Here is a 24,483-nt window from a genome sequence, read left to right on the forward strand (position 1 = left end):
GAATTTCCTGATTTTTTTTTTTTTTTTTTTTTTTTTTGAGACGGAGTCTCGCTCTGTCGCCCAGGCTGGAGTGCAGTGGCGCAATCTCGGCTCACTGCAAGCTCCGCCTCCCGGGTTCACGCCATTCTCCTGCCTCAGCCTCCCAAGTAGCTGGGACTACAGGCGTCTGCCACTACGCCCGGCTAACTTTTTGTATTTTTAGTAGAGACGGGGTTTCACCGTGGTCTCGATCTCCTGACCCTGTGATCCGCCCGCCTTGGCCTCCCAAAGTGCTGGGATTACAGGCGTGAGCCACTGCGCCCGGCCACATTTCCTGATTTTTAAAAGCTGAATAGTATTCCATCGTGTATATATAACACATTTACAAAATCTATACACTGATTGTTGGATGCTCAGGTTGTTTTCGTGTCTTAGCTATTGTAAAAAATGCTGCAATAAACATGGGAGTGCAGACATCTCTTCAGCATACTGATTTCAATTCCTTTGACTATATACCCACTAGTGGGCTTGCTGGATCATACGGTGGTTTTATTTTTAGTTTTTTTGAGGAACCTCCATATTGTTGTCCAAAATGGCTGTACTAATTTACAATACCAGTGTATCAGAGCTTCTTTCTCTCCACGTCCTTACCAACACTTGTTTTGGTAATAGCAAATTTAATAGATGTGAAATGATATCTCATTGTGTGTTATTTGCATTTCTCTGATGATTAGAGATGTTGAGCATTTTTTAATTTATCTGTTGGCCATTTGCACGTCTTCTTTCGAGAGACATCTGGTTGAGTCTCTTGCCCATTTTAAAATTGGAGTCTTTGTTTTCTTGTTTTTGAGTAGTTTGAGTTCCTTGTATATTTTGGATATTAACACCTTATCTGATGTATCATTTGCAAATATTTTCTCCATCTGTGGGTTGCCTCTTTGCTCTATTGTTTCTTTTGTTGTGAAGCAGCTTTTTAGTTTTATGCAATCCCATTTGTTGAGTTTTTTTTTATTTCATTGCCAAGGCATAGATTTAAAAAAAAAATTATTTAGAGACAGGGTCTTGCTCTCTCAACCAGGCTACAGTGCAGTGGCACAATCAGACCTCACCGCAGCCTTCACCTCCCGGGCTCAAGTGATTCGCCCACGTTAGCCTTCCGGGCAGCTGGAACTAAAGGCTCATGCCACTGTGCCCAGCTAAAAATTGCTTAAATTTGTAAATTTTACACAGATTTTAAAGAAAAATAACCATGACCTAAAATTTTCATATTCTAGGATCTCCAGTGTTGCTCAAAAGGAACATTTCCATAATTTGAACTACCTGCAAAAATATTGACAATTATAATTTAATTTATGAAATCTAACATACTATACTTGAACTTTCAGCTGAGTGAGAAAATGTTAAGTTTGCTGTCGATGTTTACACATGGAAATTTAGTTTGCTAAATTTATGAAGTTTTAATTAATGTTATCTTAGTAATGTGTGAATATTTGGAGAATGTCAATTGCCTGAAGGTTTATAAATTTGATTTTAGACAAAGTACAAATAGTGAACATTTTTTTCCTCATACAGAATTTCCCTTGGGCATTAAGTAAATACTCAAAGAAATAGGCATTAAAAAAATTAAGGTTTTCTTAAATGTCTTAAACACTAAAAAATAAATGAAATCAATATTGCAATGATTGCAAAACTGATCGGTTCACTTGGTTATAAAAGTATTTGTATGGTGTATTTATTTTTAAATTTTCTTTATTTATATTTCTATTCTTTCTCAGGCTAACCTCTCAAGCTCTTGAAGGTTATAAGAGGGATTGATAGTCCATGATTCAGGTCTTGAGATAAAAGGCACGAACGTCCCTCCCAAGGTGAGTTATTTGAGTCTGTCATCCAATTGGATGAACTTTGTTAATAGTTATACTTCTTACATTGCCTCAGGAGCTACAAAATGCTAACGTGTTGACTTTGATCCATAGAGATGTTTTGATTTTTTATGATGTAGATGTTCCTGCAAAATGACTTATCTTTATAGGAAGGATGATAAAAAATCTAATTCCCTGCCGTGTTTTGGGTGTCTTTTTTTTTTTTTAAAAGCACAACTTAATAGCTTGTCTTTGCAACTGTTATTCTGAGTATCTTTTCTTTATCATATATTGTAGGATAAGTTTATTTTGCAGTTACTTGTTTTGCGTCATCCTAGTCTTTGTTAAATCTAAAGACCTTGAACAAATTTGGTTTTCTTTCTCATCAACCACTAAGACCCGTAAGATTTTGTCACCTTTATATATCACTACTATAAATAATTATGTTATAACTATGAATAATTGATATCTGATAATTATATGAATAAATAATATATATATCATTCAAAGATAAATTTTTTATTCTTTAGGAATTTTCAAGCTAAAATAACCAAAATAGATTGGAATGTATCTGTAAGTTAATGCTTTTTTTTTAAGCTCTTAATATATTTAGGCCTCAGTTGCTCCCTCAGAGGATTATAATACTTCTTCCCTCTATTGGTTTTTTTTTTTTTGGTTGTTGTAAAAATAACTTGAACTATAGGTTGTGAAGTTTCTTTGTAAATTACTGTCTAAATGATTGTATTTGATATAATGACTATTCTTGATATAGCACACACTGATAATGTAATAAACCAATAAATCTGAGCACACGTGAGTCATAAGGGGTAATTACATCTCTTTTTATCTGTGTGTCTATGGTGAAACATGAATGCAGAAGAGAAAGAGAAGAGGCAATGTTTCTGTCTTAGAGTAATAGTTTATCATTGCCCTTAGGATATCCCTAGCAAGTTACAATGAAAGTGAAGACAGGTAACACAGTAAAAAGTGAAATACATTTCAGAGAAGGGAAAACAAGATAAAAATTTGGAGAAAGATGAATTCTCAATAAATATTTATTTCATGAGTGAACAAATTAATTGGATAGGAGAGAGAAAGTCAGCTGCCGTTTTTCTCTTACTATTTATATGGGAAACCTCCAGAAAGATAAGCACCATGAGTTGGTAGAAGTGGGAATCTTGGTAAGGAGAGCGTACTTGACTTTGAAAGAGACAAGAAGTATTCTTGCAATGTTTGTAGGTCTGCAGAGAGGAAGACAAATGTAGATCCTTCCCAGAACTATTGATTTTATATTCTTTATCTCTGAATCAGTTGAGCCTCTCATTTTAGTCATTCTCCTCCCTTTTCAAGCTGTTTAAAGTTTGAAATTAGCATCATACATCAGAACAAACTCTCTTGCTAAGTCATAGCTCTCCTTTATGTGTTCAGTGATTGTATTTTTATCCATGAATCACCAGTTCTCTAGATGACATACCTTCCTTCCTCCACTCCTTGCTAAGTAAATTTGTTTATTTCACCATTTGTTCTCTTCACAGTCTAAATGTTAAGCACATTCCCATAATTATTGAGGATTTGTGATTTTTAAATAATGACCCCAAAAGGCTGCTGAGACCTCCCTATCCAAGCACACCTCGTTTAATTGTGCTTTGCTTTATTACCCTTCACAGATACTGCATTTTTTACAAGTTGAAGATTTGTGGCAACTCTTCATTGAGCAAGTCCATCAGTATCATTTTTCTTTCTTTTTTTTTTTAAAAAACAAGATGCTTTTCTTTGTATTTTTACAATATCATTCAATAAAAAGCAGTAGAAACATAACAGTGTTAATATTAAGTTTACAAAGGAATATTTGAACAAAAAATCTGTACACATTATAATTTACAGCAATTTTATGTGGTAAATCCACTGATTGTTAAAAAGTGTTCTTTATAAGTCGCTCTGCTGCATTAAATCTTGGAGTATTATAGATAAAGAATGCACCTAGCTCTATTTACAAATGTTAGCAGCAGGACATACCCAAGTCATACAGCATCAAAGCATGTTACCAGCAGCAAATCCATATGGGTCTTCAGCAGCCTCAATTCCTGCCTCCTCAGAAGAAATAATTCAACTGAGGGGCATGAGGCAGAAGGAGAGACTGAGGCAAGTTTTAGAGTGGGAGTGAAATTTATTATCAAGCTTTAGCACAAGAATAAAAGGAAGTAAAGTACACTTGGAAGAAGGCCAAGTGGGCAACTGGAGAGATTAAGTGCGCTGTTTGACCTTTGACTTGGGATTTTCTATGTTGGCATACTTCCCGGGTCTTGCATCTCTTCTCAACCTGATTCTTCCCTTGGGGTGTGTTGTCCACATGCACAGTGGCCTGCCAGCACTTGGGAGGTGAGCATGTGCACTGTGTTTATTGGAGTTGTACGCATGTTCAATTGAGGCATTCTTCCCTTACTAGTTGAATGTCCCTTGGAGGTCATATGCCAGTTAAATTCCACCATTTTGTCCCTTAATAAACATGCTTGAGCCCAATCGCCCAACTCCTGGGATCTTATCAGGAAGCTGCTGATCACTAGGCTCAGGTTTTTCTATCTATTGGGAAACTGCCTTTCCCTGGCCCTGGCTATGACTAATTATTATTTTAGAGAGACAGTTAACAACCTCCCTGAGCATCACGTGATGGTCGCCTGACATTCCTGGTGTGTGTGCTGGGGGAGGGCCCTCTCCTGTCCTGCTCATGACTGACTAGCTACCTACTGTAACACAGGTACCAAATGAAGAATGTAAACTTCCATAAAACCCATCAGTTTAACAGCTCAACTTAACATGTTTGTTCAGAGCCCTGTCTGACATATTGATAAAAGGCCAAAAATTAAGTTTCCATAAAGATAGTAAAGGTGTCTGACTCTTGACACTGCTTTGCCAGACACCTGTAAAGAAAGATTACTCTCAATTGGTCCCATGAATTACATGGTTAAATCCAAAACAACCCATCTGACAAGTGGCAACTTAAAATACTTGTGGAAAATCCATTTCAGTATACTTGTCAGTTTACCTTGGAGCATGGTAGGGGATTAAAGCAAAGTTTGCCACAAGCCTGCGTTAAGTTTGAGCTTCCTTGGATTTAGCCCCATTTACAATTTAAAACATACAAAATACACTCACTATACATGAAATTAATGTTCCTTAAGAAAATAAGGCTTGACTAACAATTTATTGTGAGATGATGAACTATCAACAAAGAAGCCCCCAGGTGCAAGTGCGCACACGTGCTTGGCACCTGATCAGCCTTCCACCAGACCTGGGAGGAGCTGTTTCTTTTGGTGGCCGCAGGTGGCGCAGTTAGCTCATGACCCAGAAGTCTCTCAAGGGTTCAGCGAAACTTCAAATCAAATTCGTCCTGCACTCCGCAGTCCACGCGTGTAACTTTGATGGGTGCCAGGGCACGTTTCAAAGTCGTCCTGTGAGCTTGGCTGGGGCTCGGGACTGCTCTCTGCGAATTTGAGGTCAGCCGGGTGGATATCTTGGCAAACCACATCCTCCTTCAGCCGGAGGATCCCAGAAATGCAGAGCCACTTCCAGAGTCTGATTTTCTGGTCCACGACTATGCTTCTTAAATGTACTGGGAGTCTGGGTTGAATGCCAGGTGGCAGCATGTGTCTTGGGACGTCTTTAGTGTGGCACCACAGGCAATTGTGTCCGCCTCCTCCTCAGGACGCTCCCCTCTGCAGAAGTCGTCAGCACTGTGGATGCAGGTTCCTTTCCATCAGAACTTCCCGATGAAGATTTTCTCTCTTCCTAAGTCCTGTGTGAGTTTTCTTTTATTTTGCCAGTTCTTTGTCAAACTCTGGTTCTCATTTCATCTTCCACCGCCCTTGTCCCGTCTGAACGCCTAGAATGGAGCTCAGGGCCTTCGGGAGGGGCGAAGCCCTCGGGCTGCAGGCTGCCGGGCCGGGCCCTGGGCTTCCTGAGCCTCTCCCGGGCTGTGCGCCCGCGTCCAAGGCGCCACCTTGCGGGGACAGCAGGCGGGGACTTCGCGGGCCCAGTTCCATTTTTCCAACAGCATGTGCTCGCTTTGTCACATTTTGGTAATTCTCACAATATTTCACATTTGCCACCATTATTTTATCTGTGTGATGATGATGTGTGATAATGATCTGTGATCAGTGGTCTTTCATGTTACTATAGTAATTGGGGAACCACGAAGCACGCTCATAGCAGATGGCAAACTTGATTGATAAATGTGTGTGCTCAGACAGCTCCACTCACTGGCTGCTTCTTGTCTTCTCTCTCTCACTCTCTCTCTCCTCGGCCTCCCCATTCCCTGAGACAGAACAATATTGAAATTGGGCCAGTTAATAACCCTATAGTGGCCTCTAAGTGTTCAAGTGAAAGGAAGATCTCACCTCTCTCACTTTAATCAAAAGCTAGAACTGATTAAGCTTGCTGAGGAGGGCATGTTGGAAGCCAAGATTGGCCAAAAGCTAGGTCCCTTGCACCAAACAGCCAAATTGTGAATGCAAAAGAAAAATTGCTGAAGGAAACTACAAATGCTACTCTAGTGAGCACTAGAATGATAAGAAAGTGAAGCATCCTTATTGCTGATATGGAGAAGGTTTGAGTGTTCTGGAGAGATTATCAAACCAGCCGTAACATTCCCTTCAGCCAAAGTCTAATCCAGAGCAAGGCCCTAACTCTCTTCAATTCTATCAAGGCTGAGAGAGGTGAGGAAGCTACAGCAGAAAAGTTTGAAGCTACTAGAGGTGGGTCCATGAGGTTTAGGGAAAGAAGCCATCTCTATAACATAAAAGTGCAAGGTGAAGCAGCAGTGCTGAGGGAGAAGCTGCAACAAGCTATCCAGAAGATCCAGTTAAGATCATTGATGAAGGTGGCTACACTAAACAACAAATTTTCAATTTAGAAAAAACAGCCTTCTATTGGAAGAAGATGCCATCTAAAACTTTCAGAATTAGAGAGAAGAAGCCAATGGCTTCAAGGCTCCAAAGGACAGGCTGACTCTCTTGTGAAGGGTTAACACAGCTGGTGACTTTAAGTTGAAGCCAAGGCTCACATATTATTCTGAAAATCCTAGGGCCCTTAAAAATTATGCTAAATCTCTTCTGCTTGTGCTTTATAAGTAAAACAACAATGCTCAGATGACAGCACATCTGTTTATATCATGGTTAACTGAATATTTTAAGCCCACTGTTGAGATCTACTGCTCAGAAAAAAATAGTTCTTTCAAAATATTACTACTGATTGACAGTGCACCTAGTCACTCAAGGGCTCTAAGGGAGATGTACAAGGAGATTAACATGATTTTCATGCCTGCTAACACAACATCCATTCTGCAGTCCATGGATTCAGGAGTAACTTTGACTCTCAAGTCTTATTTGAGAAATACATTTTGTAAGGCTGTAGCTGCTATAGATAGTGATTCCTGTGATATATCTGGGCAAAGTAAATAGAAAACCTTCTGGAAAGGATTCACTATTCTAGGTGCCATTAAGAACGTTAGTGATTCATGGGAGGAGGTCAAAATATCAACATGAACAGGAGTTTGGGTGTTGAGTCCAACCTTCATGGATGACTTTGAGGGATTTAAGACTTCAATAAAGGAGATAACTATAGATGTGATAGAAATAGAAAGGGAATAGAATTAGAAATGAAGCCTGGAGATGTGACTGAATTGCTACAATCTCATGATAAAACTTGAACAGATGGGGAGTTACTTCTTAAGGATAAGCAAAGAAAGTGGTTTCTTGAGATGGACTTTACTCCTGAGGAAGATGCTGTGAACACTGTAGAAATGATAAAAAAGGATTTAGAATATTACATAAAGTTAGTTGATAAAGCAGCAGCAGGTTTTGAGAGGATTGGCTCCAATTTTGAAAGAAGTTATATTGTGGGCCAAATGCTATCAAACAGCATCTCATAATACAGAGAAATCTTTTGTGAAAGGAAGATTGAATCCATGTGGCAAACTTCATTGTTGTCTTGTTTTAAGAATTTGCCATAGCCACCCCATCCTTCAGCAACACCATCCTGATCAGTCAGCAGCCACCAATATTGAGGCAAGACCATCCACCAGCAAAAAGATTACAACTCACTGAAGGCTCAGACAGTTGTCAGCATTTTTTAGCAATAAAATATTTTAAAATTAAGATACGTATAGTGTTTTTTAAATACATAATGCTTCTGCATACTTAACAGACTACAGTATAAAGTAAATATAACTTTTATATGCACTGCGAAACAAAAAAAATTGTGTGACTTCATTGCAGTATTCATTTTATTGAAGTAGTCTGGAATCAAACTCACATATCCCCAAGGCATGCCTATACATTGCTTTTGTTGCAGTGTGATAAATGGTGTCGTTTTTGCAGCAAGTAGCATTTTTGCTTCCTCAGATGGGACCGGAAAGTTCAGAGATTTTTATTAGTTAAGGTAGCAATGTGCCATGCTTCTTTCTTTCTTCATACACTTCCTTTATTTGCTGAAGCCTTTCTTCCAGTAGCTTCCTAGAGTATTTGCAAGGTACATTTTGTATCTATTTTGCCTTTACACTTGATTATTTGATTGGGTTTAGAATCCTGAGAAAAAGTAAATTTTTCCTTAGAATTTGAAGAGAAGTCTCAGGACAACAGCTTTTCAACAAGTCCAGACAGCAACTTGCTCTGGATTGCAGCCAGAGGAAGAGGGCTCCAGGAACAAGGCTGTTAAGGGAAAATAACAATTGGAAGTGTTTGAGCACTTAGGAAAATTATTGCCTAGACATTTCACAGCTCTGTTAAAGCATTTTGGGAAAAATAAAAGTACACAAATAATTAAACATCTTAAAAAGAGGCAGTTGTTAACTTCAGAGAAAACAAAAGTTTATACAAGAATGAAAACATCACAGTGAAGTTATTTGGCTTAGCAGTGAATAATACTTAGATGGTCAAAATAAGGTAAATATTGATTATGGATTTAATCCAAAACTGTATAGCTACATTGGGAGGATGAATAAAAGGGAAATTAGGCCGGGTGCGGTAGCTCACGCCTGTAATCCCAGCACTTTGGGAGGCCAAGGCAGGCGGATCACCTTAGGTCAGGAGTTCGAGACCAGCCTGGCCAACATGGTGAAACCCTGTCTGTACTAAAAATACAAAAATTAGCCGGGCATGGTGGTGGGCGCCTGTAAATCCCAGCTACTCAGGAGGCTGAGTCAGGAGAATCCCTTGAACCCAGAAGACGGAGGTTGCAGTGAGCCAAGATTGCACCACTGCACTCCAGCCTGGGTGACAGAGGGAGACTCCGTCTCAAAAAAAAGAAAGAAAGGGAGTCAGAGGGCTCAACCACAAAGGGAAGTCTATCGATCCTGTAATGAATCACATAGAGACACTTCTGAGAGTGAAGGGACCACTGGCTATAATTATTCTGAGACAACAGGTACAAATTGGAATTGATGGGCAAACTAGATGTATGGTCACCCAAATTACAGGCATATTATTTTAAATGTAGAGGTAAATGCCAGATGAGACAGGTAATTCAGTTGGAAGTGGCAGTCTCTAGGGAGTGGGATTGGTGGTTGGAGAGAGTAAGACAGGAGACTGTTGGCTTTTAACAGTCTATTAGTACTATTTGATTTAAAATAATGCTTATGCATTATATTAAAATAAACTTAAAAGTTGACTTTTTAGAACAGATTAGATTAACATTGCCTAATGCTTTTTGATATAAACCAAAATGTTCCTTTTATAGCAAGAGGCCATATAGAAGGACTCCTGGAATACTTACTTCCTATACTATGTATTTGATTCTTTCCCCAATTTAAGAAAGGTGCCACTGGAGGGACAATAAGTACTAGGTCCTCTTTGTCTCTGAAATAGGGCCTTGGCACAAAGTAGATGCTTATTAGTTATTTGTTAATGAATAAAAGCAACATTCAGTAGCATTTTCAAAGGCAGAAAAACCTTTGAGAAACCAGGTTTATCAGATGATATTTCCAAGTACAGGTGTAATGGCTTACCAGGCTTACCCTGAGTGGAGTTCATCAGAAGGGGGTCCGCAGGCAAAGTGAAGCAGGGAAACCTTTTTTGTTTTTACAAAATATAGCTCTAGAGCTTAGAGTGTATGATGTTGACTCTGTCGCAGAGATTTCTTTAAGACAATGGTACCTAAAGCAATAATAATTGAACATTCAGAAATATAGCCTGTAATGTGTGCCTTTAGGGATAATGGTATGTTTTTTACTGCTGACTTGATGCTCATTAGTTTGAAACTTCCCTAAATTTTTATTCTCAAAGAAAATTTTAAGCCAAGCATGATGACTCATGCCTATAAATCCAATGACTTGGGAGCCTGAGATGGGATGATTGCTTGAAGCTAGGAGTTCAAGACTAGCCTGGGCAACATAGTGAGACCCTGTCTCTAAATTTTTTTTTAAAGATTGGTCAGGTGTGGTGACATGCACTTGTATTCCCAGCTGCTTGGGAAGCTGTGGCAGGAGGATCACTGAAGCCCAGGAGTTTGAGGCTGCAGTGAGCTATGATGCCACTATTGTCATCCAGCCTGGGCAACAGGGCAAGACTCTGTCTCTTAACAACAACAACAACAACAAAAGAATATTTTATTTTTCATTGTTATTTGAGCAACAAGATGAAGTCATGAAGTCTTGAAGAAAGAAAGAACTGGAAGCATTTTCTTTTGGAAAACATTTTTATAGCCTAATGTACTATAGTTTTGAGGAGGGTTTGGATCAGTGATGACCATCATAGGGTGAACAACTTGTTCAGAGTATTTGCAGTAAAATAGGCCCAATAGATTGTGAAATTGTAGCTTATTGTATATTAACATGTATCCTCTAAATTGAAGTTATAATGGAAAAAAATGGGGAGAGAAAGAAAAAAAAAGAATGGAAGCAAAACAGAAACAAGAAAGAAAAGAAGGTAATAACTCAGCAGATCTAGCTATTGGAAACCAGGTCGAACACAGGTTAAATCTCTAACCTTAGGGTTTTGGGTTTTTTTTAGCCTCTTCATTTAGAGCACACCTAAACTTAGGTTTTTTATTTTTTATTTCTTTAAGTAGAATTATCTGTCAAAACAGACACAAGACCCTATTTCAGAGACACAAGAAATACCAAAACCAGTCTTCTTAATTTGAAACCATTTTCCCCTCAATGCTTAAGAGAAAACTTATATCAGGTCCATTTTTCTTAGTAGAGTTATATTGTAAAACTTTTCTTGACCCCCAAGTTCAACCCCTAATATACCAAATTCCAGCCAGGTGCTTCTTCCTTGCATGCTCTGTCACAGTCTTTATCACAATTGCATATTAGTAATTGTTTACTTGCCAGAATTTTTCCTGAATTGCAAGCTCTCGGAAGGGGCCATTCTATTTTGTTCATCATTGAATGCCCTAGGTTCAGTATTTGGGCATAGTGGATGCTCAATCAATATTTACTGAATAAATGAATTGTACTATCCTTTCTTTCTTTCTTTTCTTTTCTTTTTTAAATAGAGACAAGGTCTCACTCTGCTGCCTAGGCTGGAGTGCAGTAGCGTGATCATAGCTCACTGCAGCCTTGAACTCCTGGGCTCAAGTGATCCTCCCACCTCAGCCTTTGGAATAGCTGAGGGTACAGGCATGCACCACCATGCCCACTAATTTTTATTTATTTATTTATTTATTTTTTGTGGTAGAGACGGGGTCTAGCTATGTTGACCAGGCTGGTCTTGAACTCCAGGCTTCAAGCACTTCTCTCCCTCAGCCTCCCAAAGTGCTGGGATTATAGATGTGTGCTATCGTGGCTGGCCCTATTCTTTTTTACTTTATGTCTACAGGAACCTGTCTGGAAACAATGTGCACTCATTGAAAACTTGACTCCAACAATAAATTCTGAATTTGGCAACTGGTCAAAGCTCTCTAGTCCAAAGGGAATAAGACAATGGGTATTGTGACAGCTTACAGGCAACAGAGAGCTTAAGGCAGATCTCAAAAGCAGCTACAGAGGGCCTGGGCCAATTAGACAAAGGAAAAACCTGGGATTGCCATCAGGCTTTGACACTTCTCTTTCTTTTTAGTGACTGTTGGCTCATTCCTTAGCCTATGAAGCAACTCAGGGGAAGTATAAATTATGGCAAGAAACTATACTCCATCTTTCACCTGGCAACAGGCTTAGTACATCTGGCTTATTTCTGAGCTGTTGTGTGCTGCTAGATATTGTGATCTCTCTTGTTTTGGACTGTAATAACTCTGAGAGTTTTTCTTTCTCTTTGGGAACAGTTTGGTAGCAATCATTTAAACTAGGCACTGTATTTAATTTATTGGGAACGAAAGTTGTGCCCACAGAGGAAAGGAGTGAAAAGAAGTTAAGCGATGCTCTGAACCAGGGACAAAATCCGTATTATTACATAATGCCGCCCCAGTCCCAGTGAAGTTGATAATTCTGATCACTAATAGTGGACATGCACATTATGGAGCTTTATTATTTAATTTTGAATTTTGTTTTTGCAGTGGGGATAGACTTGTGCCAGTTAATTAGTGTTCTCTTTTCTAATTCCCTTGTGAGACTTGGCATGCAGCTGAGAGGCAGTCCTTCCTAACCATGAGATAGAAAATGAGTTATCAGCACCTACGTGCATTGAGTACTTCTCTCAGCTTCTGTCATTCATTCATTCAACAAATATTCATTGAGCACCTATTATGGGGCCAGACATTATTCTAAGTGCTGGGGAAACAACAGTATGTAAAGTAGACATGATGTTCTAGTTGCGGAAGATAGACAATACACATAATAAATAAGTAAATTATACATGTTCAGAGGTGATTAATGGTATACAAAAGGAAAATCAGGGTAATGGGCATGAGGAGTGTAAGTGGGCAAGGTGGGGAATTGCAATTTTATCTATTAGTTATTATTATTTTTTATGGAGTCTCAGTCTGTTGCCCAGATTGGAGTGGAGTGGTACGATCTCTGCTCACTGCAACTTCCATCTCCCAGGTTCAAGCGATTCTCAAGCCTCAAACTCCTGATAGATGGGACTACAGGCACCCGCCACCACACCCGGCTAATTTTTGTATTTTTAGTAGAGACAGGATTTCACCATGTTGGCCAGGCTGGTCTTGAACCACTGACCTCCAGTGATCTGTCCACCTCGGCCTTCCAAAGTGCTGGGGATTAAAGGCGTGAGCCACCACGCCCAGCCAGGAATTACAATTTTAAATGAGCAAGTCGATGTAGGCCTTATTGAAAGCTGACATTTGAGCAAAGGCTTGAAAGTGATAAGGAAGTCAATTCTGCCAGTATCTGGAAGAAGAGATTCCAGTCATATAGAGACCCCGAGGTGGGACCATGGCCAGCATGTCTGAGGAACAACAAGGAGGCTGTGTGGCTGTAGTAGAGAGAGCAGGGGGAGAATAGGAGAGGACATCAGCAAAATGATGAAGGCTCAGATGGTACTGGGACATGGAAGCCCCTCTCAGGGTTTTTTCTGAAGGTGAAATGGAGAGCCCTGGAAGTCTGTGGGCAGACGAGTGACCTGATCTGATATGTGTTTCAAAGTCTGGCCACTGCAGTGAGAATGATCCATAGGGAGTGTGGTGGAGATGGCCAGCAGACTGCCAAAATCCACCCTCCTTCCTCCACAGTGGAGAGTTGTCAGTGGAAGCAGCTGGCTAACCAGGGACCACATTTCCTGTCCTCCTCTGCATGCAGGTGTGGTCATGTGACTAGAAGACAGTAGAGTGGCCATTGGCTGAGAAAGGAATGAGTGTGTGGTGGAGAGCTGCTTTGCAGACCTAAACCCAGCCCAGACTGTTACATAAGAAAGGAATAAATTTCTTGTTCTTGAAAATACTGAGATTTGGAGGTACTTTTGTTGTGGAAATCTAGCCTACCCTAACTAAGACAAAGGCCAAGAGTGAAATTCAGAAGATTAATGGGGAGGCTGTTGTAATAGTCTAGGTAAGAAATGGTGGTGGCCTGGAAAAAGGCATTAGCAGTGGAGTAACACAAAATAAAGAGGCTGGACCATGAATATATTTTGAAGGTAGAGCCCATAGACTTTCATGACAAAAAAGGAGAGCTGTTTGACTTTATGGTTTTTGTGCTGATACCTTATAAGGCTGAGGAAGTGAGGTGATGGAACAGGCTTGAAAGGGTCTACTTGGAGTGAGGTTTGGGTTGTGTGCTTTTTAAAAAACGTATAAAGAGGCTGGGCATGGGGGCTCACACCTGTAATCCCAGCACTTTGGGAGGCCGAGGCGGGCGGATCACGAGGTCAGGAGATTGAGACCATTCTGGCGAACACAGTGAAACCCTGTCTCTACTAAAAATACAAAAAAATTAGCCAGGCGTGGTGGCAGGCGCCTATAGTCCCAGCTACTTGGGAGGCTGAGGCAGGAGAATGGCATCAACCCAGGAGGCGGAGCTTGCAGTGAGCTGAGATCGCACCACTGCACTCCAGCCTGGGCGACAGAGCGAAACTCCGTCAAAAAAAAAAAAAAAAACAACTTATAAAGAAATGAGTTTTAATTGGCTAACAGTTCTGCAGGCTGTACAGGAAGCATGGCACTGACATCTGCTCAGCTTCTGGGGAGGCCTCAGGAAGCTTCCAGTCATGGCAGAAGGTGAAGGGGGAGCAGGCATCTCACTTGAGCAGAACAGGTGCAAGAGTGGGGTGTGTTAAATTTGAGATGTTAATTCATCTCCAAGTGAAGATGTTGAATAGATACATGGATATATACATTTGTAGTTTAGGAAGATGTCTTCCCAGGGATGTTAATTTGGAGTGAGTAATGCATGGATTATATTTAAAATCATGGAATTAGATTGGGACTACTGTGGGGATGAGTAAAGTTACAAAATAGGTCAAAAGATTGAGGCCTAGATGACTTCATCTTTAAGAGGTTGGGAAAATAGGGAGAAACCAGCAAAAGTGACTGAATGGGAGCAACCAGTGAGAAAGAATGAAAACCAAGCGAGTGGTGTGCTGGGAAACACTGACCTGTTGTACTTAGATGTTCAGGGCCTGCAGCCCAGAGGAAGACTGGAATGGTTCTTTGCCTTTTAGAAGCAGGAGAAATACATATAAACTAGAGACATTATGATGAGAGCAACCCTGGAGGCATAACAGAGGGCCAGGAAAGAGATTTTTATAGCTGAGAATACCCTGGCAGCAGAAATGGTAAGTTGGGAAATATTTGGATTCTATTTTTTGATAGGGAGGAGAGAAATATATTTTTTGAGCAATGGTGATAATCATTTCTATTTTAGAGAAGGAACTGGGCTGGGTGCAGTGGCTTATGCCTGTAATCCCAGCACTTTGGGAGGCCCAGGCAGGTGGATTGCTTGAGCTCAGGAGTTTGAGACCAGCCTGAGAAACATGGTGAAACTCCGTCTCTACAAAAAATACAAAAAATTAGCCAGGTGTGGTGGTGCATGCCTATGGTCCCAACTACTTAGGGCACTGAGGTGGGAGGATTGCTTAAGCCTGGGAGGTGGAGATTGCAGTGAGCTGAGATTGTGCCACTGCACTCCAGCCTGGGCAACAGAGTGAGACCCCATCTCAAAATAAAATAAAATAAAGTAAGATAAAATAAAGAATAGAAAAGGAACTGGTGACAGGAAGGGGGCTAGATTTTGGGGAGAACATAAAAACTTTGTAGGTATTTACAAGACCAGTAAACCAATCTGGAGATGAGTCAGTCCTCTTAAGTGGCCTTGGGATCAGTGCCCCAGTGACTTTAATCAAGCTGGGATCAAGGGGCTGACTCTGAATATAAACTTTCTCTCCAAACCTGGTCCTTTACTTGTGTCTTCAGTCTCAGCAAGGACATTATTATCTACTCAGTTGCTCATGCCAGAATCTGCTAGTTATTTTTAACACCTTCCTCCCCTTCACCCCATGTCCAGTCATTCACCAATTGCTGACGATTTTGGCCTCCTAAATATCTCTCAAATTTGTCTGCTCCCCTCCACAGCTGATATGGTTTGGCTCCATGTCCCTATCCAAATCTCATCTTGAATTGTAATTCCCACATGTTGAGAGAGGGACCTGTAATCCCACATGTCAAGGGAGGGAGGTGATGGGGCGCTTTCCCTCATGCTGTTCTTGTGATAGTGAATGAGTTCTCATGAGATCTGATGGTTTTATAAGTGTTTGGAAGTTCCTCCCTCACTTCTCTCTCTCCTGCCACATTGTAAAGAAGGCGCTTGCTTCCCCTTCACTTTCTGCCGTGATTGTAAGTTTCCCAAGGCCTCCCCTGCCATGTGGAACTGTGAGTCATTTAAACCCCTTTTCTGCATAAATTACCCAATCTCAGGTATTTCTTTATAGCAGTGTGAAAACAGACTAATACAACAGCTCTACTCACCTAAGCCACTCCAATAGGTTCCTGACTGGCCTCTTCAAAACAGTCCCTGAAGCCCTCCTCTAGTCATAGACCACAATGGAGGCAGTGGGAGCTTTTAAAATAGAAATCTTATCATCTCACTTCCATATTTTCCCTTTCTCCTGGATTAAAATCCTGAGGCTGGCCTTCAAGGCTCTGCATGTTCTGATTTCTACATACTTCACCAGCTGTGCACAAAGAAATATCATTTGCTGAATGAGTGAATAAACCAGTAGACTAAGACACAGCCTCACTTTGGGTAAGTCACATAAATATTCTAAGCCTCATTTTCCTCATTTGTAAAATGAAAATTATTATTTTCCTCACTGGGATTTGCTAAGTTAAACAATAAGATACCACATTAATAAAATGTGAGTGTTTAGCATTGCATACTATAATTGATCATTGCAAATATGCCAAATCAGCACTTAGCACAGAACAGAACCTGATAAATGCACCCGATACATGTTGTATTGTTCATGATAAATCAGCACTTTGGGGTTCTAATGATCTTAGGTGACTTTTTGTTTCTATCAAATTACCTCCAAAATTCCATACCACCTCATTCGATGCTGAACAGACAGCTGCACGTGGCTATTTTCAGCATCGTATTGCTGCTCAAAAAAATCTTCGTTGTCTCCAATGCCTGTGAAATCCAGTTTAAATTCCTGTTTTGCATTCACATTTCCAATTTTGTTCAACATACATCCTATGCTCCTGAGAAATCAACCTCAAACAAAATTTACAGGGTTTCTACAAAATTCCAGGAGCTGTGTTAAGTGCTGGATATTTAAATTTAACCACTGAAGACTTGTATGATGTAGTTTCACCACTGAAGTGCTATTTCATTTAAAGAAACAGAGTCTAAGTAGGCCAAAATATCATAAAAAAGGAATTTCACTCTTTAGTAAAGTCTCTCAAAGGATATCAACAGGAATCGTGGCCCTAGAAACACAGCCCAGCACCTGTGGCAGCCATAGAGATACACTGCTAAGATCTCCCTTTGAGAAGTGAAGCCAGCTGGATTTCCTGGGTCAAGGCGGGGACTTGGAGAACTTTTCTTACAAGAGGTTTGTAAAATGCACCAATCAGTGCTCTGTAAAAATGCACCAATCGGCGCTTTGTAACTAGCTAGAGGTTTGTAAAATGCACCAATCAGTGCTCTGTAAAAACACCAATTAGCGCTCTGTAGCTAGCTGGAGGTTTGTAAAATGGACCAATCAGCACACTGTAAAATGGACCAATCAGTGCTCTGTAAAATGGACCAATCAGCACTCTGTAAAATGGACCAATCAGCAGGACATGGGCGGGGACAAATAAGGGAATAAAAGCTGGCCACCCCAGCCTGCAGCAGCAACCTGCTTGGGCCACTTTTTACGCTGTGGAAGCTTTGTTCTTTTGCTCTTCACAATAAATCTTGCTGCTGCTCACTGTCTGCTGCTCACAATAAATCAGCTGTGCCACCTTTAAGAGCTGTAACATTCACTGCAAAGGTCTGCAGCTTCATTCTTGAAGTCGGTGAGACCAGGAACACACCAGAAAGAACCAACTCCGGACACATCTTGATCTAAATCCATTTATGTGTCTATCTATCTATATATCTACCTATCTGCTATCTATCATGATCCAAATAAGATTACTATTATTAGACAACTAAAATGAACTTAATCACATACCATCTGTCTTTGATATCATCTTTAAAAATCACACCTAATTTTTTAGGAAGAGAATAACATATGCACTACTGTTTTATATAACAATTTTTAGGAATATAAGCACTTTTTGTATGGTTGAGCTCATTCATAAGAAGTATTTAAGCTTGTTTTGAAACAATAATACCCATGTAAACTAACAATATATTATATAGTAATATGTAGAAGTTGTAAAGAGAAACATACAATTTAATGAACTCTATTTCCTGCCTCCTTCCCAAATATATTTTATTTGATTTTAATTGGAATCAGGCCAATTACTAATGAGGTTGAATATCTTTTTATATGTTTATTGTCTATATTGTTTCTTCTCTGTAAAATACTAATTCCTGTCTTTCCTCATTTTCCTATGAAATTATCATTTATTTATTTAAGAAGTTTTTTTTTTTAAAAAAACATATTCTGGATTATACTCCTTTGTTGTTAAATGCATCACAAATCCTTCTCTGAATATGTGTCCTATCTTTTTACATTTTTAGGGCATCCTCCAAGTTTTCCTGGGAATATTAGAAGAGGGAAGTTAGAAGGATGAACTATAGCTCCTGTTTCTGTAATTGGTCTCAGGGTCACACTTCATACTCATCCTCTTTTTCCCCATTATCCATTCTAAATCCCTACCCCCCAACTTCAGCTATCACCTCATCAAGGCATGGTGGATTACATGGTGGTGTTTCCCAAACCTTCATTCCGAGGGGTCTGAGCGCTTGGTTTATCATATCTTTCTCAGGCTGGGGTTGCTATAAATGTCCACAGTTACAGCTGGGCAAGAGAATAGCAGGAGGTGTCCAGGTGGATCATTTGGGTTCACACATATTCCTCTCTGCCTGCATTGTGTAAAATCAGCCTGACCTTCTCTTGCTAATGGGAGTCAATTGCCCCGACAAGATGGGGACTCCTCTTCTTGCCTGCTGCCCACTGAACACAAAGACTTCCAAGTGAGGTGGCAGCAGCCATAGATTGCAGTTCAGTGGAAGCCTTACCAAGTCCCCCTGCACAGGGATCCCCTTTTGGGAGCAAGGACCTCCTACCCTGCAAAGTCCAGAATTGTGGGGACAAGAAGCACATAATCCCACAGTGGGTCAATTAAGAATGATGGCAATTGGGACTACTTTTGCTTTCACCCTTGGTTTCCAGACACATATATTTTTCCTTGAGAGGACACACTGCCATAGAGTTCTCTATTTAAAACATGTAGGACAGGATAGCACCTATCCTTGCAGAGTATGACCTCTGAGCATTCCAGCTAATCCTTCAGTAGGCTGTTGCAGTCTTTTGTGAAGCAGCTCCTTCTGGATTGTGCCAGAAGTATGTGATATGTATGGATGGATGTGTGTGATCCCACTCCCATACCTCCTGCACTGTGTAGTAAGAGCCCTGGTCAGATGCTCTTTGTGTGGGATCCCAGAGCACCAATGTTGAAATCCTTAGCAATTAGGTTAACTACCTTGTGCCAGGGATTATTGTGCCTGATGTTTCCCTCATGACTGTGTTCTCCTTGCCAGCTGGGTGGTGTGTGAACCAGTCCCAAGCCCCATCTTACTGACTGTTGTCTTGGACCACTCTTGGTAGCACTTGTGTTAGTTTGCATCCTCTAAGGAGCAGACCCCAACGTGGGATTTGATATGCAAGAGGCATTCAAAATGCCTATAAAGGATAAAGGAGGAGGGAGCAGGAAGAGGCAGAAGAGTCTTTAGACCATTTGCAGGTCTAATATCTGGGAAAGGAGAGAAGGAAGGAAGATAGGGAGAAAATTAGCCTCAGTGCACTCCCCCTAGCACCTGTACCTAGGCCATTCACTGGCTGAGTGCAACCCAGAGTAAGCTTGACCTCAGTGTGAACACTGTTGAATCCCACATGGCAGCCAGAGGCTGTCAGTCAACTATCTTCCCCACAGCATCTTCTGCTGAAGGTGTGTCCAGAGTTGGTTCCTTCCAGTGGGTTCATGGTCTCGCTGACTTCAAGAACGAAGCCACAGACCTTCATGGTGAGTGTTACAGCTCTTAAAGGTGGCCCGGACCCAAAGAGTGAGCAGCAGCAAGATTTATTTTGAAGAGTGACAGAACAAAGCTTCCACAGCATGGAAAGGGACCCGAGTGTGTTGCCACTGCTGGCTAGAGTGGCCAGCTTTTATTCCTGTATTTGTCCCCACCCATGTCCTGCTGATTGGTCCATTTTACAGAGCGCTGATTGGTCCATTTTACAGAGTGCCGATTGGTCCATTTTACAGTGTGCTGATTGGTCCATTTTACAAACCTCTAGCTAGCTACAGAGCACCGATTGGTGCATTTTTACAGAGCACTGATTGGAGCATTTTACAAACCTCTTGTAAGAAAAGTTCTCCAAGTCCCCTCTTCAAGGAGAACTACAAACCACTGCTCAAGGAAATAAAACAGGACACAAACAAATGGAAGAATATTCCATGCTCATGGATAGGAAGACTCAATATCGTGAAAATGGCCATATTGCCCAAAGTAATTTATAGATTTAATGCCATCCCTATCAAGCTACCAATGACTTTCTTCACAGAATTGGAAAAAACTACTTTAAAGTTCATATGGAAACAAAAAAGACCTTGCAGTGCCAAGACAATCCTAAGCAAAAAGAACAAAGCTGGAGGGATCATGCTACCTGATTTCAAACTACACTACAAGGCCACAGTAACCAAAACAGCATGGTACTGGTACCAAAACAGAGATATAGACCAATGGAACAGAACAGAGGCCTCAGAAAAAATACCACACATCTACAACCCTCTGATCTTTGACAAACCTGACAAAAACAAGAAATGGGCAAAAGATTCTCTACTTCATAAATGGTGCTGGGAAAACTGGCTAGCCATATGTAGAAAGCTGAAACTGGATCCCTTCCTTACAACTTATATAAAAATTAATTCAAGATGGATTAAAGACTTAAATGTTAGACCTAAAACCATAAAAACCCTAGAAGAAAACCTGGACAATACCATTCAGGACATAGGCATGGGCAAGGACTTCATGTCTAAAACACCAAAAGCAATGGCAACAAAAGCCAAAATAGAGAAATGGGGTCTAATTAAACTAAAGAGCTTCTGCACAGCAAAAGAAACTACCTTCAGAGTGAACAGGCAACCTACAGAATGGGAGAAAATTTTTGCAATCTACCCATCTGACAAAGGGCTAATATCCAGAATCTACAAAGAATTCAAACAAATTTACAAGAAAAAAACAAACAACCGCATCAAAAAGTGGGCAAAGGATATGAAAAGACACTTCTCAAAAGAAGACATCTATGCAGCCAACAGACACATGAAAAAATGCTCATCGTCACTGATCACCAGAGAAATGCAAATCAAAACCACAATGAGATACCATCTCACACCAGTTAGAATGGCAATCATCAAAAAGTCAGGAAACAACAGATGCAGGAGAGAATGTAGAGAAATTGGAACACTTTTACACTGTTGGTGGGAGTGTAAATTAGTTCAACCATTGTGGAAGACAGTGTGGCGATTCCTCAGGGATCTAGAACTAGAATTACCACTTGACCCAGCAATCCCATTACTGGGTATATACCCAAAGGGTTATAAATCATGCTACTATAAAGACACATGCACATGTTTGTTTACTGCGGCACTGTTCACAATAGCAAAGACTTGGAACCAACCCAAATGTCCATCAATGATAGACTGGATTAAGAAAATGTGGCACATATACACCATGGAATACTACGCAGCCACGAAAAAGGATGAGTTCATGTCCTTTGCAGGGACATGGATGAAGCTGGAAACCATCATTCTCAGCAAACTGTCACAAGGACAAAAAACCAAACAGTGCATGTTCTCACTCATAGATGGGAATTGAACAATGAGATCACTTGGACACAGGGTGGGGAACATCACACACTGGGGCCTGTTGGGGGGGTGGGGAGCTGGGGGAGGGATAGGAGAAATCCTTAATGTAAATGATGAGTTGATGGGTACAGCAAACCAAGATGGCACATGTATACCTAGGTATCAAACCTGCACGTTGTGCACATGTACCCTAGATCTTAAAGTATAATAATAAAAATAAATAAATAAAAGTTCTCCAAGTCCCCACTCAACCCAGGAAGTCCAGCTGGCTTCACCTCTCAAAAAGACACTGGTGAAGTTACCCTTGGTTTTTCTGTTTATTTTTAAAAGCGACTAGCTTTTAGAGCACTTTTAGGCTCTCAGAAGTATTGAGCAAAAGGTAAAGGGATTTCCAATATGCTTTCTGCCCCCATATATGCATAGCCTTCCCAATTGTCAACATCCCACAGCATAGGGGTACATTCGTTACAATTGATAAGCCTACATTGACACATCAATATCGTCCTGAAGCGATCCTGTTGTAGTTCATAAGCATGATGATTTGGTGTTCACGTGCATGTGTGGGATGTGCCGCCCACAAACCTTGTTAGGACATTGGCACATTACCCATCTGACATGAAGAAATATACATAGCACTCAAAATCCATAATTTACATTAGAGTTCCCGTTGGTTTTGTACATTCTAAGGGCTGGGACAAATGTATAATGGCATGTATTCACCATTATAGAATCATTACAGAGTAGATTCACTGCCCTAAAAATCCTCTGTGCTCTGCCTATTCATCCCTCCCTCTCTCCTAACCCCTGGCAACCACTGATCGTTTTGCTATCTTCATAGTTTTGCCTTTTGCAGAATGTCATATAGTTGGAATCGTACAATATTTAGTCTTTTCAGACTGGTTTCTTTCACTCAGTAAGAGGCATTTGAAGTTCCTCCATGTCCGCTCATGGCTTGATGGCTCATTTCTCTTTAGCACTGAATAATATTCCATTGTCTGGATGTACCACAGTTTATGTATTCATTCATCTACTGAAGGACATCTTGGTTACTTATAAGTTTTGGCAATTATGAACAAAGCTGCTATAAACATCCATGTGTAGTTTTTGTGTGGACATAAGTTTCCAACTCCTTTGGGTAAATACCAAGGAATTGGATAGTATAGTAAGAATATGTTTAGTCTTGTAAGAACCTTGGTGTATTTTTTAAACAGAAAGCTGGATTTCTCCCCTTTGGCCAAGAATCCTACATTGGAGCACTTGAAAAGGCATCAGTGACACTTCATAATCAGCCTGCCCATGCTTGATGGCAACCAATATAGGCATTCAGAATTATGTAACCTTTGGTGCAGTGGAGAGGGATGCGTCCAGGGATAAGTACACAGATTTCCTGGCACTGGAAATATTCTGTGTCTTAACCTGTATGAAGAGAGCATGAAAATTGGCTTTATTATTCTTTATACCATATATAAATTATGTATTTTGGTATTGATGAGGAAATATACCATCAAACTAAAAATTTTTTAAGGCTCAAATACAAGGTACTGGTGGCTCTGGGATTATATAATAGTAGTTTACAACCTTTGTATGTTTGTCATGTATTTTCAAAGTTTAGAACTTTTTGCTGTTCACTTAAACAAGCCACTAAATATGTCTGCAAGAATCACACTCCTTAAGTGTAATAGCCTGTTACTGAACCAAACTGGGTCAATTTGCCCATGCGCCATGGAAGGCCAAACACTGAAGCACCAGGCTTTTGTAGAGAGAAGAGTTTATTACAAGCTGCTGAGCAAAGAGACAGGAGTCTGCCTCAAATCTGTCTCCCCAAGTTGGGGGTTAGGGCAGGTCTTATAGGGAGAGGGTATTGAGGCATGCAGTGATTGGATCTTGCAGTGAGGTGATGCTGGGAGCTGTGATCTGGCTGGATCTTGCCATGAGGTGATGCCAGGGCGTGATCTGATTGGATCATGCCATGTGGTATCTGCATTTAATTTAATTTGGTACCCATATTCCTTGGTCAGAGCACTTAGGGCCACCTATGGTTGCACACTTGGTTCACCTGGGGATAATCAGGTTATGTAACTTGAACCCATGGCAACTGAAAACCAACTCACCATTTTATTACACAAAGTTCAACCAGATTGGGTTGGTTCTGCAGTTACAGCTTCACAGAATTTGCAAAAGCATCCACAGTAATCACTCTGTTTTCCAAGTCACCCTTTAGCACCCACTGGGTGGTGTTTGACAGAGGTGTCTACCTGACCAGATTTATGCTTCAGTCAAATCTGGACCCTCCTGGAGGACCAGCTCACCCCACAGTGAGCCTCTTCCCTTGCACCAAGTTCTGCTCTCACCTCCTGTGCCCGTGGCTAGCTCAGCCCCATCTGACACATCACTGTGGTGATAGGAAAAATACATCTTACACGTGAGTCAGAATGTCCATATGCCCTGGGAAGTGTTGATGGCACACTGGCTGGAAGCCATTGGCTCATAAAATCATGAGTCACTGCAGCAGCTCCGTGCAGAAAAGTCCACAGTGTGGGAGTGGTGAGGAGAATCTGCTTGAGTGGTATTGCCTAAGCTGGAATTCTGGCTTTGCCATTTACTGGGGGGTGACCCTGGGCAAGATACTTGACTATGCTTTTGTTTTCTTCTCTGTAAAGTGGTAATAATGTTAGCATACCTACTTCATAGGGTTGTTGTGAAAATTAAATGATTTGGTATATGTAAAATGCTTAGA

The 24,483-nt window shown here is 40.7% G+C and overlaps 1 protein-coding gene and 1 non-coding gene across 7 annotated transcripts in view, besides 2 other annotated features; both read left to right on the forward strand.

Moving 5' to 3' along the window:
- Positions 1-24,483, forward strand: part of PDK1 (pyruvate dehydrogenase kinase 1) — a 168,940-nt gene that overhangs the window by 113,668 nt on the left and 30,789 nt on the right. For 3 of the 6 annotated variants that reach the window (XR_007076395.1, XR_007076402.1, XR_007076394.1), the window contains one exon: positions 1,755-1,844. The gene's annotated coding sequence lies outside the window, so the exon portion shown is untranslated. Of the gene's footprint in view, positions 1-1,754; positions 3,657-24,483 lie in introns of those variants that run through there. The other 3 variants (XR_922944.3, XR_001738774.3, XR_001738772.3) reach the window with 2 other exon arrangements.
- Positions 4,041-4,335: a silencer, noted in NCBI's record as "tiled region #7042; K562 Repressive non-DNase unmatched - State 23:Low". NCBI's record gives its function as "represses a minimal TATA promoter and a strong SV40 promoter by Sharpr-MPRA in K562 cells {active_cell/tissue: K562}" and the evidence as "EXISTENCE:reporter gene assay evidence [ECO:0000049][PMID:27701403]".
- On the forward strand, positions 22,259-22,362 carry LOC124906146 (small nucleolar RNA U13). Its single transcript, XR_007088735.1, has one exon. It is a non-coding gene; the product is annotated as a small nucleolar RNA U13 (small nucleolar RNA).
- Positions 24,264-24,433: an enhancer, noted in NCBI's record as "experimental_56260 CRE fragment used in MPRA reporter constructs". NCBI's record gives its function as "activates a minimal promoter by MPRAs in K562 erythroleukemia cells, with activity observed for both the introgressed and non-introgressed 2:173558117 variant alleles {active_cell/tissue: K562}" and the evidence as "EXISTENCE:reporter gene assay evidence [ECO:0000049][PMID:34662402]".

This window comes from Homo sapiens, chromosome 2 (assembly GCF_000001405.40).
Source record: "Homo sapiens chromosome 2, GRCh38.p14 Primary Assembly".
NCBI lineage: Eukaryota > Metazoa > Chordata > Mammalia > Primates > Hominidae > Homo > Homo sapiens.